This window comes from Homo sapiens, chromosome 12 (genome assembly GCF_000001405.40).
Source record: "Homo sapiens chromosome 12, GRCh38.p14 Primary Assembly".
NCBI classification, from domain to species: Eukaryota; Metazoa; Chordata; class Mammalia; order Primates; family Hominidae; genus Homo; species Homo sapiens.
Genome location: NC_000012.12, coordinates 115,366,557 through 115,381,812, shown reverse-complemented (window position 1 = coordinate 115,381,812; position 15,256 = coordinate 115,366,557). Strand labels below are relative to the sequence as shown.

Below are 15,256 nucleotides of genomic sequence, written 5' to 3'. Positions count from 1 at the left end.
GGATGGAGGCTATGATGACTCTAGAAATGTTGCTTTTTTATTGATCGAAGGACAAAGTGATCCTAGAAAAAGGCCTCGCCTCTCTCCTAGACTTTCTACCTCTGACTGAGCTCATGATGCTTGGAGCTGTGGCTACCATTTTGAAGGCGTGAGTTGATGAACAGGAAGGGAAGTGAATGCGTTGAGCTTGGGGGAGTAGATGAATGGGGAGGGCTTACCTTGATGTCCAGTGGAGTGGCTGCCCCAAACCTGGAAAGCAACCGCCTGTCTATAGATGTCTGAAGATGTCCAAATTAAACATCTCCAAGGTTTAATGCAAGGTGAGCTGGCTTTTCTGTTAATTGTATCTGAAGGCATCCTAACTGATGCTGATGTAAGTTTAGTCTCTGGTCTTTTAAGCATTGGAAGTCCCTGTGAAAACTTCCTGATCATGATTTAAAAGAAAAAAGAAAAGAAAAGAAAAAAGAGAGAAGTGGCAAAAGGGGAAGGTGGAGGCAAACTGTTCACTGTGCTGGGAGAACAGAGTGAGGAGGTTTGAATGTGGTTGCTGGAACTGAATGATAAAAGGCTTTCGAACGATCCAAATCTAGAGCCTCCCAAATAATAGCAATGTAGAAATTGGCCATCTGAGTCAATGTCTGGTTCTCACTCAGGCCAGACCAGGACAAAACACTTTTCCTACTGCCTTGAGAAAGCATGGGCATCTCTCCCTTGGTATCTTTTCTCAGCATGCAAGTTTCAGATGCCAGGACCGTCACAATGAGGGGAGAGGGTTCATGAAATCATGCCCAGCCAGGAGCAGTGAAGCTAAGACTAGGAACCTGGGTAGAGGGAGCTTTTCTGATTTTAGGGCTCCTCCCTACCAGCTGGCTGGAGTTGGAGATACTCTCAGCAAGGGGGCTTTGCCAGCATGAGTAAAACCAGTTTCCTCTGTGCTGTGCTCCCAGGCAGCCAGATGCAATTTACTCTCCACCTCTACCCTTCCTTGCATCCCATCTGCAAGCATTTGAGTGTCCTCTAGTTATGGGGATCGGAGACCTGACCTCTTCCTCCCTCTCTCTTCCTCTTCCCTCCCTCTTTCACTTCCTCCTGCGACATCTGAGAGGGGCTAGCATCCTGGTTTGTCACAGTTGCAACCTTTGAAAGTCTTCCCCGCCCGATCTCCTTCTCCACTTCACTCCCCCATCCCTGGTTCGAATACTTTCCCGAGTACCCTCCTATTTGGCACCAGATGTTAGAGGTTACAAACCGGCCGCCCTAGCTTTTACATCCTCCCTTATTTTACTTGCCACCTGTCTTTCCGAGACTCTGCCCACAATCCCCCACCCCCATCCTGGCGTGTGTGTGCTGACCTCCACGTGCTCCCAAATCAACTGATTGCACCGGAATCCACTTAAAGGTGAAAGGATAAAGCAATTTTCTTCAAGATGTGGCCTAAACTGTTTAGTCTTGGAGGTCTCCAAAGAGCAGAAATGAAAGGTCCCCCCACCCCCACCTCTGTCCCAGAGAGCCCAATCTGGGCTTGCCTCCGTCTGGGTAATTTGGAATAGCTTAATCTTCTGTCTCTGGGCAGGTTTGTCAGACCTCTGCAGAATTAGGCCCATAATGCACGGGCAGTGTCGGTGATTGCCTGGTTCACTGACTTGAAAATTAAAAGAAAAAAAAAAGCCTAAAAACTGTAATAATCAGTCGTTTCCACATCGGAAAGTCTGGAGGCATCAATCCGAAAGGAGAAAGATGTAATGCATTAATCTGACATGAGGACAATGGGCTGTGACTTTATATATTTAATTGTTAAGTGAGGTGATTGTAAACTGGGGTTGGAACCAAAGGACAGACGTCTGCTCTCAGTGTACTCCACTGCCAAAGCACACACGGATGGATTTGGCCCTCGAATATTTTTGATTGAGGAATGTTGGACTGGGACTGTCTAAAGGGCAGGAAGGTGGGGTCTGCATGCTCAGAGGTTCCAGGCTCCAGAATTATTACACAGACCCAGACTCAAATCCCGGCTCTTCTCCCTATTCACTGTGGCCCTTGGACAAGTCACCTCTCCTCTCTGAGCCTCAGTTTCCTAAAAAACCTGCTGTGAGAATTGATGGGGTGAAGCAGTTAGCATGCACTTGGCGCCTGCTGCGTGATGTTAATATTAATTAGCTTTAAGGTTTGCCTTCCTGGCCAGGGTGTTGAGGTGTGATACACATGGAAGGACAAGAGAGCCAGAGAGGTTTTATCTTCCTCATAGGAGTGGTTTTAGGTTCCCTGTGTCTCCAGTCATGTTTCTAAGCAGTCCGCAGGGCACACCGCTCTGGCTGAACACAGCTCCAAGCAGAGCTCCATTGTAATCACCTGGTGGCTTGTCTGTTTCCACCAGGAGACAGTGAGCTTCCTGGGGGAAAAAGCCATGTTGAGCTTGCTCAATAGTGTAATCTCCAAGCAATTAATTCACATAGTGAATAAGTGTGACTTTGAGCAGGTGACTTTATTGGAGCCTCAGTTTTTCCAGCTGGAAAATGGGACTCAGTGTAGTACTTTCCCATAGGAGTATGGTAGGAATTGAATTAGACAATCCCTGAGCAGTGCTTGACACATAGTGAGTACTCAATGCATGTTAGCTGTGTTACTATCATGATTATTCTAGTTGTCCTCAAAGAGCCGTCCCTTGTGTCTCAGACGTCCCAGTTCCAACTCTCCTTACCATCTGCTGGTAGTACTTTCTTCCCTTATGGAATCTCTGTGTAGCATCAGCATCCCGTGGGGTCGAGGTGCTGGCAAACTGTACTAAGTGAAAGCTAAGACAGCTTCCTCTTCTGTTCTGCCCAATTCTAGGCAACCGTCGAATCTTTGAAAACCCAAGTGAATTTCGATCTTTATGCCAAATGCCTTCACTTAAATTTCAGGCTGTACCCAGAATTCACAGTGGTACGGGCAATCTATTTGACCTCATAAGAGCCACTTAAAGGCAAATGTGTACACCCAGCAATTCCACCTTTCCATTTCTCCCCAAGAGAAATAGTTGCAATGCTCATAAAGAAGCACATAAAAGGATGTTCACTGCCACCCTGCTTGCAGCAGCAGAAAACTGGAGACAGCCTGAATACCCACCAGTAGGAGACTGGTTAAATAAATCATGGCACGCCCATGCAATGGAAGCAGGCTCAGCAGTCTTAAGCAATGAGGATGATCTACAGAAGGGTCTACAGGACATATTGATAAGTGAAAAAAATTGCAGAACAATTGCATTTATGTAAAAACAAAATTAAGCATCACATTGAATGTTGTATGTATCAGTGCACAGATGCACAGAGAAATGTCTGGAAGGATGCCCAGAAAACTAGTAACAGTGAAACTGAATTAATTGGGTTGGGAGGGAGACGAAAAGAAATCAGAGAGAAATTCACTGCCTGTTTTTTTCCCTGAATGCTAGATTTTTTTTTTTTTTTTGCAATAAGAATTTACTATGTATTCCTAACATAAATGGGAAAATGAAACACACTCACACATAGGAAAGGTTAAAATTACAACTCTAAAGAACATAAGCTCAACACAATTCCGTACAAATGAACACATCCCCAATGACTTGCAACACTAGAGTGAAGATAAGTTGTGACATAGTCTCACAATAGAAAACTATATGCTAATAAGAATAAATGAAACACAATTAGACACCACGACACAGATAATTCTCGCCAATGTAACAGTGAGTTAAAAGAGTTACACACAAAGAACCGTGCTATATAATTCCATTTATAGAAAGAAGAAAACCAGGCAAAACTGGAAGGGGCTGTAAGGAAGCATCCAGATGCACAGGAATGCTCTTTCAAGATCTGGGCACAGGTTACACCAGTTTGTTCAGTTTGTGAAAATTCATTACGCCGAACATTTATGATTTGTGCACTTTTCTGTATGCATGTTATACATCAGTAAACGTTTCCCCAAAAGTCAATACATTAAAACATGCTTTTTTTTATATGACGGGGGATAAAAGCCCTTTATCTTCCTAGAAATACCACCATAAACCAGTCTTAACCATTTTCGAAGCCTTTAACACAAGTAAACAATCATTTATTTAATGAAGGGAGGAGTCCATAGCTTTCATCAGATTTTCAAAGGGAACCTTCACCCCCTGAAAGATTAAGAACAAATGCTCATGCTGTTTTGCAGAGGTTGGAAAGGTGGGGTGGGTGATTACCCCCCCACCAAAAAAAAGAATCTTGAGTTAAATTTATTTCTCGCACTAAAGGTAACAGCCACACAGTATCCAGCGAAAGGATGTTGGAAGTGGGGAAGGTCAGGGTGAGTTCCTCCAACAGCCGCCCCCTCCAAGGTCTTGGTCAACCTTGCTTGCTTTCTTGCTAGCGGATGTTCACCTTGCCATTCCCCACACATCTGCGGTTTATGGCGGTGTGTGATGCTTACAGGGTGATTTATAGCAAGGCTCAGGCTTGGGGAAAAGGTTTCTAGAGGAAGGTCCCCCCACACTCGTTTGTAATTTAGGGGCATTTCTTGAATTCCCCGGCCCATTGGTTCCTGGCAGAAAATGATGGGGATAGATGCTCCCCAACATATGTGTCCCTGTGAAGAGAGATGGATGGTCACGGGAAGTGGCTGTTCCCCATAAATCACAGCATTTAGAATACACTGTCTCTTCTTATGAGATATGAGAGAGGGAAGAGAGAGGGTGGACTCACGTGCAGGACACTGCACAGGAAGCGGTGGGTTAGGGGGCAGAGGGGAGAACTGGGGCTGCCTGTGATATGGCAGCTTAAAGATTAAGGCTTCGTCCCGGCAATGGCGTAACATCACCAGGCCACATGGTGGATCTCTCCCTGCATTTTCGGAGTCTTTTCTGACTACCTGGCATTGGGATGCTTTGTCTCTTTCCTGGGCTCACTCCCTTCCCATCTTTAGTTTCCCTCTCTGATCTGTATAGGGGAAAGGCGTGTATAGACCTGGGTTTAAATCCCAGCTCTGTCTCTTACCAGCTGTGTGAACTTGGGCGTGTTATGTAAGGTCCCGGATCTAGAAAATGGAAGTACTAAGCCGACCTCATAGGGTTCTTGTAGGGGATTCAATGAGGTGTTAAATGAAATTAAGTGCTTTTTACAGGACACTTAGTTGACTCTCAATTCATAGTCATTACTACTTTTATTTTATTTTTAATTAATTATTATTATTTTTCTCAAATGGGGTCTTACTCTGTTGCACAGGCTGGAGTGCAGTGGTGCCATCATGGCTCACAGCAGCTTTGAACTCCTGGGCTCCAGTGATCCTCCCACCTCAGCCTCTGGAGTAGCTGGGACTACAGGCATGTGCCACCATGCCTGGCAAATTTTATAAAAAATATTTTTGTAGAGACAGGGTTTCGCTGTGTTGCCCAGGCTGGTCTCAAACTCCTGGGCTCAAGCAATCTGCCCACCTCAGCCTCCCAAAGTGCTGGGATTACAGGGGTAAGCCATTGCACCTGTGCATATTAATGACTATTCTTTATACCTTCCTGTATGCCCATGGTTCTTAACAGGGGTTGACTTTGTCCCCAGGAGATTCTTGAAAATGTCTGGAGACATTTCTGTTTGTCATGCCACATTTGGGGGAGGGTCTGCTACCGGCATCTAGTGCGGGGAGAGCAGGGATGCTGCCAAATGTCCTACCACATGCAGGACAGGCCCCCACGGCCAAAAACTGCCCAGCTAAAATGTCAATAGTGCAGATATTGAGAAATCCTGCTTTAGGCCGGACATTCGGTATTTTCTGTCTTTGGTATTCCCATATTGTTTCATCCTTCCCTTTTGGCTTTATATCATCCTGGATGATGAAGTTATTAATAGTTGTCACATTTCCAACATTATTATTAGACATCACAGATTGGGTCTAAATTCTGGCTTTGCCACTTACTGGCTGTGTATCCTTGGATGAGTTACTTAGGCTCACTGAGCCCCAGTGTCCTCACCTCTAATGTTGGAAGTCGACTATGAAGATGAAATATGATCCTGCACAGGAATGACGGCCCGGAGCACTGCTCAAGAAAACATTGTGCATCGTCAGTGTCCTCAACAACCTTGAGAAGCATGAGACCTGCTGGAATATCGAAGTGCATGGCTGGCTCATTCCTGTGTCCTAAAGTTCTTCCTCTCTTGCCTCTCCCATGACTTTCTCCTAGTCCCATCTTTTTCCTTTAGTTTCTTTTCCCCCTCCCTTTCATTTCTTCTCTTTTTTCTGGCTTACCCTCAGGCAGGAACAGAGGGGGCCCAAACCCTCTCTACTGTGGTTACACATGCACAATTTCAAAGCCTGCTTCTGAAGACAATGTGGCCTGTTTAAAGGCGAATGACTCACTTGTCTGGTTTCTCTTTCACTCCCTGGCTCTGGCTGTTAAAGTTTGGTTCCTGTAGGAGGAAGGGGCGAACTTTGAACGTTCCTCAGGGCCTTCTTATCATGTCACCCACAGCCCCGGCTTTCCTCCCTTGGTGGTGAGAGTTGGGATCAGAAACTCTTGGGCAGGCTGCCTTCCTCTCTCCTCATCTGAGCCCCATTCGCCCTGATCTCCCTGCTGACAAGAGCTGACATCCACGTGCAGCTGGGATTCCCTGTACATCTGAGCACCACCTGCCCGGAAACCCCCCAGGACCCAAACAGAGAGGAAGGCCTCTGTCCTTGGCTACACCCCTGCCTCTTCTTCTTCCCAGGAAGAACCTCACCTCTCAGGGGCTCTGCTTAACCAAGATCCACTTAAAGTAAGAAGAGAGCCCCATTCAACACCGATGAAGTGTATTCAATATGCCAGACACATTGCTAAGTGTTTTACATGCATTATCTCATTCAATCCTCACACCAACCCAGGGGGGTGGTCATTTTGTCATCCATATGTTAAAGAGGATGAAACTGAAGCTCATAGAGACGTAGTCACTTGCCCAAAGGCACACATTTACCAAGCGGAGAGCTAGAATTTGGACCCATGTTCCTCGGATGTCAGAGCTAAGTTGACTAACTTGTCCAAGTTTGCCTGGGACTTTCCCAGGTTTACCACTAAAAGTCTCAGGTCTTGGGAAACCCCTTAGGCTCCTAAAAACCAGGTTGTCCTATAATCAGAAGGAGAGAATGCAATGAGACCAACCCTGGTACTACAAATTCCAAGCATTTTTAAATAATAATATTCCCTCCATTCCTCTCCCTCCTTCCTTCCTCCCTCCCTTCCTCCCTCTCTTCCTTCCTTCTTCCCTCTCACTTCTCCCTTCCTCCCTCCCTTCTTTCCTTCTATTCTTCCTCCCTCCCTCCCTTCCTTCCTTCCTTCCTTCCTTCCTTCCTTCCTTCCCTCCCTCCCTCCTTCCTTCCTTCCCCATGTGCTCTACTGCCAGAGAAGAGATTGGGCCAGCAGTGACTTTTGTGTGAGAATCAAGAACTACTTAAAATTGACAATGCCTGGGTTTGGAGAAAGCCCCTTTCTGGTGCCAAGGTTATGCACAAAAGAAGTGTTGCTCCTCTGCGGGCTTAGGATCTTCCCAGGATGTTCCTCAGCCCTTCCCTGACATCCTTTCTACTTGTGGTCATGTTTTCCTGGGTCAGCTTCTGTTTTCTGAAACACCACTTGGCAGTGGGAGCTGTGGGCTTAGTTGATGGGATCCAGTCACACAATATGTAGAACCAAGCCTGGTACTCAAGGCTCTTTGGGATCTCTTCCAACCTTACCAATCTGTGGGAGAGTCTGACCAGCGTGTCTCCAAAGCCATATTCTCTTCCTCCTGGCCACCCACCTAGACTGCACTTCCCAGTCCCCCTGCAGGGAGGTGTGGTCATGCGCCTGAGTTCTGACCCTAGAATGAATATAGGTGGAAGTGGCATTTACCATATGGTTCACGCATAAACATTGTCCATATGGAGTCCACCATGCTTTCATGCTTTTTTTTTCTTCTTCTGTGTGACTTTAGGCAATGCGAAATCCACAGGACAGAAGAAACCTGGTTCTGGAATCCCCTCTTGGAAGTGAGCTGCCTGCTGATTAATAATACTTGTTGTTTTGGATTTTATGTAAGCTCAAAATATACTTTATGGGTGTGACCCAATGAGATTTGAGGATTTGTTTATTACAGAAACTAGCATTGCCCTAACTAATATATATCCAGTCACATTTCTTTCCACTCTAATACACAAAAATCTCTATGCTGCTCAGAAGAGTTTCCATCTCCCCCACTACTGCTTATATGTCTTCTGCCTAGAATATCTTCAATTGCTTTCTTCCTATTTTAAACTATTCATCTTTAAGGCCCAAGCTAAGTGCCATCTCTTTGTTTGTATATTTGTTTTATTATTATTATTATTATTTTTTGGAGACAAGAGTCTCGCTCTGTTGCCCAGGCTGGGGTGCAGTGATGAATCTCAGCTCACTGCAACTTCTGCCTCCCGGGTTCAAGTGGTTCTCCTGCCTCAGCCTCCCGAGTAGCTGGGACTACAGGCACGTGCCATCACACCTGGCTAATTTGTTGTACTTTTAGTAGAAATGGGGTTTCACCATGTTAGCCAGGAAGGCCTTGATCTCCTGACCTCGTGATCTGCCCACCTTGGCCTCCCAAAGTGCTGAGATTACAGGCCTGAGCCACCGCGCCCAGCCTATTTTTAATTTTTGAGTCTTGTTCTGTTGTCCAGGCTGGAGTGCAGTGGCACAATCACAACTCACTGCAGCCTTGACCTCCTGGGCCCAAGCGATCCCACCATGCCTGTGCTCCCAGCTACTTGGGATGCTGAGATAGGGGATTTTTTTTTTCTTTTATGTAGAGCTGATGTCTTGCTATGTTGCCCAGGCTGGTCTCAAACTACTGAGTTTAAGTGATCCCCCTGCCTTGACCTCCCAAAGTGCTGGGATTACAGGTGTAGGCCACTGTGTCTGGCCTACATCTCTTTGGTGAAGCCTTCCCATACCACCTATCTTTCAAGTCAACTGCAGTATCTCTGTCTATCATCTGTTTATTCATTCATTCATTCTCTTAACAGGGTTTATGAGCACCTTCATGAATGTCCACTGCTCTATGCTAAGCACTGAATATTTAGAAGAAGACAAATCCCAGGCCACACTATCTGAAAGTTTAGTGAAGACAGTAGATGAAACAAAAAATAGACATCACAATCCACTGTAATATGTGCTAAGTTTGGCAATGCACAGGGTGCTGTGGTTACATTGAGAAGGAATGATAGGCTCAGTTTGGGAAGAGCTATATTCAATAAATAATCACTATTGTTATTTTGCCAGGTCTCATATTTAGTCTGTTAGCAAAAGTCAGTGGGCAATCAACGGCCCTCTGGATGACCCATGATGCACTGTCTCTCTTTTTTGCCTCATTTTTCACCATATGCTACTCAATGGTTCCAGCTTGTCATCATCATATCAGTTACTAGAGAAAAAACTTGTTCAGAGAAGGGAAGACTTAAATGAATGGGCAACAGGCCTAATGAGAAAGGGGTGTTGGGTATGGAAAGCTGTAGAGGGAATCTGACATTTATTGAATGACTACTGTGTGCCATACACTACTGCCTTTTATTTCACTTAAACAGCACAACAATCCTGTAAACTTAGTATTATTTTTGTGCATATTTTATAGAAGAGGTAACTGAGGTTCAGCAATGTGACATCACTTGCCAAGTTCTTGTATCAAGGAAGGGATGGAGCCCCTAGGTTTAAAGTTTTCCTGAAACCAAGCTGCCAACCACAATGCTGCTATTGGTCAGGGTTCTGGTAGGAGAGAGGAGGCTCACTCCACAAGAGAAATGGAAGAAAATTTAATTAAGGGAACACTTGCAAAAATGTGGGCAGGGTGAAAGGAAGTCCATATGCCTAGTGAAACAACCTGGGATTGGCGATAGTCTGAAGTGTTACCTACTCTAGGCCAGAAGAGATTAGTATAGGGAGGCAGACATTACCAGAACCAGAGCAGTAGCCACAGGAAAGGGCTTCTAGACAAGATACGTTGTCTTAGTCATTGCCCGTCCCAGACCCAGCAGAGAGACAACCGAGGGAATAAACACTCTGATATCTCCCTTCTTCCTCCTTCCTATTCCCTGTGAATGGCTTCCATTGGTCAAACACAACTGGAATTCTGAAGACAAGGTATCCTGTTCCTGTTGACCTTGTAGGACAGCCTTCCGGGGTGGAAGTTGAGGTTTAGGCTTGAGCTGGAGTGGTCAGCTAGAATATGCAGCACAGTGACCTAATTGCCTCTCATATACACCTAGTTTAAATGATAACAGATTAAACCTGCACCTTCCAATGGTTGTTTTTTGTACTGTATTTATGCAACTGTATTTCAGTAGAAATAAGAGAGTGGGCAAACTTAACAATAGTTTGACCACAGACCATAAATTCCTGCAGTTTAAAGATTCTGGGAGCAGATCTCTCTGGAAAATACGAACTGGGGCCAATGTGGTCAGGGTGGACCCATGAAACTTCCTTAGCCACAGGAGTTTTGTTAAATAGTCTTTGCAAGTTTATGCTCTATCATTTCTTGGATGGATTTAAAAATTCACTCATCACTGCTGAGACAAATTGTACCAAGCACAAGGACCACTGATTGAATAAAACAGAAGCAAACTTTTCCTAATGAAATAAGAACACAAAGGAGGCCTCCCAAAGATGGCTTCTTTAGAAAACAGAGAAGGAAATAAAACAGACAACCCACTAGGATGTGAAGACAAGAGCCTTAGAGAGAGCCCAGAGCCTTCCACAGAAAAGGAAAAGGGAGAACAAAACCAGAAAAAACAACTCAAAACAAAACCACCCATTTCTGATTTCCTGAGTTTTCAATATGGGGATCATTAACAGGAGCATTCTGGCTAATCTTAATTGCTAGGGCCGAGGAAGGGAATTGCCGGGGTAATCAGATCCCAAAGCATACAGGGCTTTATAGATTAAAGCAAAGTTATCTCCTAATCCCATCAAAACGTCATAATCTTGTGTCACAGCAGCATCTAAACACAGCTGATTGAGATGCCACGAGTGCTGAATCTGGGATCCATCACAGCCTTGCCGTCCGGAAAGCAAATAACCCCAAATGAGAAGATTGGATTTAGTGTGGTCTGGAGATATTTACTACAAAGGCCTAAGCCCTGGCTCCCTCTCTCCCTTGGGCTTTGCATGGGGAAAATTCTAGTGTCCCCAGATGCATTCCTTCTAAAGAAAATTTTCCCCAAATGGAAATAGATTCATCATTTTTGCTGATTATAAAATTAATGTGTGACTGCTGCAAAAAAAAAAAAATACAGTCAATACAGAGAAATAGGAGGAAGAGAATAAAAAGCACTCAATCTCACCAGCCAGAGCAACTATTGTTAGTCTGATGTGTTATCTTTTCAGAGCTTTCCTCTGTGCATATGCACACATACATGTACGATACATATCCTCCCTCCCTCTCTCTCTCCCACACACACCCTCACACCCACACACTCTCTCTGATCCTCTTGTGACATCTGTATTCTTCTCTTCCACTCCTAAGATCAGCGCCTGTGCTCTCCATGTAGACTAAGCATGGCCAATCCATAGCTCTCACCTCTCCATCTGCTTAGTTTCACCAACCAGCAGAGACTGACTATTATCTTTGAATTCCATTCCAAATCCCAACGAGAGAGGATCCAATGTGCCCTACTTCAATCCGTTATGACGTTGCCATAGGGTCACATATACATACACAACTGTTATACAACAAAGTACCCTTGCTGGAAGCGGGGAGGAGAAAGTAGGGGACTGGTGGCAGCTCCCAGCATCACCCCAAACAACATCTAATACATTTTAAGTGGTCCTAGTTCACGCCCAGCTCCTACAGAGAAGAAATGGCCTGCGAAAGTCTCAATTTGCAAGCTGAAACTAGTGAGTGGCTCACTGAAGTCTGAGATCCAGGACTTATTCTTCCAAACTCTGGGTTGCTCTATTTTATCAGTTATGCCTCCACTATGGAAATGTCACAAAGTCATATAACAAATAAGAATTTGAGGCCGGGCACAGTGGCTCATGCCTCTCAGTTCTTTGAGAGGCCAAGTTCGGCAGATCACTCGATCTCAGGAGTTTGACACCACCTTGGGCAACATGGCGAAAACCCATCTCTACCAAAAAATACAAAAATTATCTGGGTGTGATGGCACATGCCTGTAGTCTCAGCCACTTGGAAGGCTGAGGTGGGAGGATCACTTGAGCCTGGCGGGGCAGAGGTTGCAGTGAACCGAGATCATACTACTGCACACCAGCCCGGGCAACAGATTGAGACACTTTCTCAAAAATAATAAATAAATAAATAAAATAAAAAAGAAGAAGAAGAATTTGAGAATACAAAGAAAGATAATTGAATACTCATACAATGTTTTATATATAATTTCGGGGGGTTCAAAGACCCCTTTAACTTAGAAGTTTAATTTATGGATCCAATATTAAGAACCCCGTTTTAGAGGAAAATAATACCCATGTATTTAAAATATTCTTCAATATCAAATTGAAGTGTCCTCTACTTGTGTTCAACAGAAAAGCATATTCTACCCTCTCTTGTAAATTGATGATATTCAGGACCCACAAGCGGAAAGGGTTTTATCTTTTCTTGATATTGATGCAGAAGTCCCAATTCCTGGAATCCCCAGCTACGGAGACCTTCAGAAGACCTCCAGGATTCCAGCAGCATCAGGGTTGGTAACCATCTTTGAATCACTGGCGTCTTAGTTTTCTCTTCCCTCTCTCCCTCCTCTCCTTCTCTTTCTCTTCTCTATCTACATACTGAAGTTTCTCTGCCTCTGCCTGTGTCCTTTCTTTTTCCTTCCTCTATGTTTCTTTTCTTCCTTTCTTATTTGAATGCTTTCAATATACATTTCACATTTTTTATGGATCAGTTTTGCTGACATCAGGAACAGCTAATAAAGTTAACGTAGTCTAATTACAATAATAGATCGAGAAGCTATTCAAATTGCCTTTTGCTGGGGGCTCAAATCTTTGTGTCTCGGGTTCAAGCCCAGTCTCTGAGACTCCCTTGCTCTAAGTTTTCAGATATTCCTCACCTCACTTAGACTACTTTCTCATCTGTATAATGGGTGTGAAAAATACCTCTACCTCACAAGGAGGTCAGGAAGCTTCTGAATGAGATAACATATGGTTTAGCTGCCATCAAATATTAGAAAGACATCATGTTAAAGAGGCACTTGATTTATGCTATATAGATCCAGAAGGAAGAATTAGCAATTGTTAAAGTTGAAGGAAAGTTGAGTTTGGCTCAGGGAAAAGGAAAAATTGCCCAGAGCTGTCCAAAGTGGAATAGATTGTCTCAAGAGATACTAAGCTCTCTGCCACTGGGAGTATCCAAGACAAGGCACAAAATCCAATGTGCTTGGATATTAAAGGAAATTCTAGGCACTGTGTACCAGTGTTGACCTCTGACTTCCCTTTTAGATCTAGTATTCTTGATGCCTAATACTCTTGCATTTTTATACCATACCCTTTATTTTCTGTTTTCTTTTCCAGAATCATAATTGTTGGTTAATTTCACAGAGCTTTGGGAGAGGTGGGCTGATCTAGAGGTGAAAGACACTAGAATGTCTGAATTTGGAAACTTATTATTCCCTAACAGCAAGATAATTGCCTCCCTTCTCTTGGCCTTTGTTTACCCAGCTTGGCAAGAGACCAGCATACCCCACTCTGCCTCTCTACCCTCACTGATCCAAAAAAGGTACTGTATTAGTCCATTTTCACACTGCTGATGAAGACATACCTGAGGCTGGGAAGAAAAAGAGGTTTAATTGGACTTATGGTGGCACATGGCTGGGGAGGCCTCAGAATCATGGCGGGAGGTGAATGACACTTCTTACATGGTGGTGGCAGAGAAAAATGAGAAAGAAACAAAAGCAGAAACCCCTGATAAACCCATCAGATCTCATGAGACTTACTCACTATCATGAGAGTAGCACAGGAAAGACTGGCCCCCATGATTCAATTACCTTCCTCTGGGTCCCTCCCACAACACTTGGGAATTCTGGGAGGTACAATTCAAGTTGAGATGTGAATAAGGACACAGCCAAACCATATCGTTCCACCCCTGGCTCCTCCAAATCTCATGTTCTCACATTTCAAAACCAATCATGCCTTCCCAACAGCACTCCAAAGTCTTAACTCATTTCAGCATTAACCCAAAAGTCCACAGTCCAAAGTCTCACCTAAGACAAGGCAAATCCCTTTCACCTATGAGCCTGTAAAATCAAAAGCAAGTTAGTTACTTCCCAGATACAATAGGGTTACAGGCATTGGGTAAATACAGTCATTCCAAATGGGAGAAACTGGCCAAAATAAAGAAGTTACAGGGTCCATGTAAGTCTGAAATCCAATGGGGCAGTCAAATTTTAAAGCTCCCAAATAATGTCTTTTGATTCCAGGTCTCATACCCAGGTCACACTGATGTAAGAGGTGGGTTCCCACGGACGTGGGAAGCTCTGCCCCTGTGGCTTTGCAGGGTACAGCCTCCCTCCCAGCTGCTTTCATGGGCTGGCATTGAGTGTCTGCAGCTTTTCCAGACACACAGTGCAAGCTGTCAGTGGATCTACCATTCTGGGGTCTAGAGGACAGTGGCCCTCTTCTCACAGCTCCACTAGGCAGTGCCCCAGTAGGGACTCTGTGAGGGGGGCCTCCAACCCCGCATCTTCCTTCCACACTGACCTAGCAGAGGTTCTCCATGAGGGCCCCGCCCCTGCAGCAAAGTTTTGCCTGGGCATCCAGGCATTTCCATACCTCCTCTGAAATCTAGGCAGAGGTTCCAAACCTCAATTCTTGAGTTCTGTGTACTCACAGGCTCAACACCATCTGGAAGCTGTCAAGGCTTGGGGCTTCCACCCTCTGAAGCCACAGCCTGAGCTGTACATTGGCCTCTTTAGGCCATGGCTGGAGTGGCTGGAACACAGGGCACCAAATCCATAGGCTGCACGCAGCATGGGGACCCTAGGCCTGGCCCACAAAACCACTTTTTCCTCTTGGGCCTCCCGGCCTGTGATGGGAGGGGCTGCCGGGAAGGTCTCTGACATGGCCTGGAGACATTTTCCCCATGGTCTTGGGGATTAGCATTAGGCTCCTTGCTATTTATGCAGATTTCTGCAGCTGGCTTGAATTTCTCCTCAAAAAATTGGTTTTTCTTTTCTACTGCATCATCGGGCTGCAAATTTTCTAAACTTTTTTGCTCTGTTTCCCTTTTAAAATGGAACGCTTTTAACAGCACCTAAGTCCCTCTTGAATGCTTTTCTGCTTGGAAATTTCTGC

The 15,256-nt window shown here is 44.9% G+C and overlaps 1 long non-coding RNA gene across 1 annotated transcript in view, besides 4 other annotated features; it reads left to right on the top strand.

Moving 5' to 3' along the window:
* The window catches only part of LOC105370003 (uncharacterized), a 389,555-nt gene extending 381,253 nt beyond the window's left edge, over positions 1–8,302 (top strand). The window contains exon 4 of the long non-coding RNA XR_945389.3: positions 7,926–8,302. This is a non-coding gene — a long non-coding RNA (uncharacterized LOC105370003). The remainder of the gene's footprint in view (positions 1–7,925) is intronic.
* Positions 6,051–6,551: an enhancer, noted in NCBI's record as "H3K27ac hESC enhancer chr12:115813067-115813567 (GRCh37/hg19 assembly coordinates)". NCBI's record gives its function as "activates a minimal SCP1, AML or CMV promoter by ChIP-STARR-seq in primed H9 embryonic stem cells {active_cell/tissue: H9 hESC(primed)}" and the evidence as "EXISTENCE:reporter gene assay evidence [ECO:0000049][PMID:30033119]".
* Positions 6,410–6,499: an enhancer, noted in NCBI's record as "active region_7084". NCBI's record gives its function as "activates an Ori minimal core promoter by ATAC-STARR-seq in GM12878 lymphoblastoid cells {active_cell/tissue: GM12878}" and the evidence as "EXISTENCE:reporter gene assay evidence [ECO:0000049][PMID:35858748]".
* Positions 6,570–6,789: an enhancer, noted in NCBI's record as "active region_7083". NCBI's record gives its function as "activates an Ori minimal core promoter by ATAC-STARR-seq in GM12878 lymphoblastoid cells {active_cell/tissue: GM12878}" and the evidence as "EXISTENCE:reporter gene assay evidence [ECO:0000049][PMID:35858748]".
* Positions 7,000–7,109: an enhancer, noted in NCBI's record as "active region_7082". NCBI's record gives its function as "activates an Ori minimal core promoter by ATAC-STARR-seq in GM12878 lymphoblastoid cells {active_cell/tissue: GM12878}" and the evidence as "EXISTENCE:reporter gene assay evidence [ECO:0000049][PMID:35858748]".
* Positions 8,303–15,256: the final 6,954 nt, after the last annotated feature.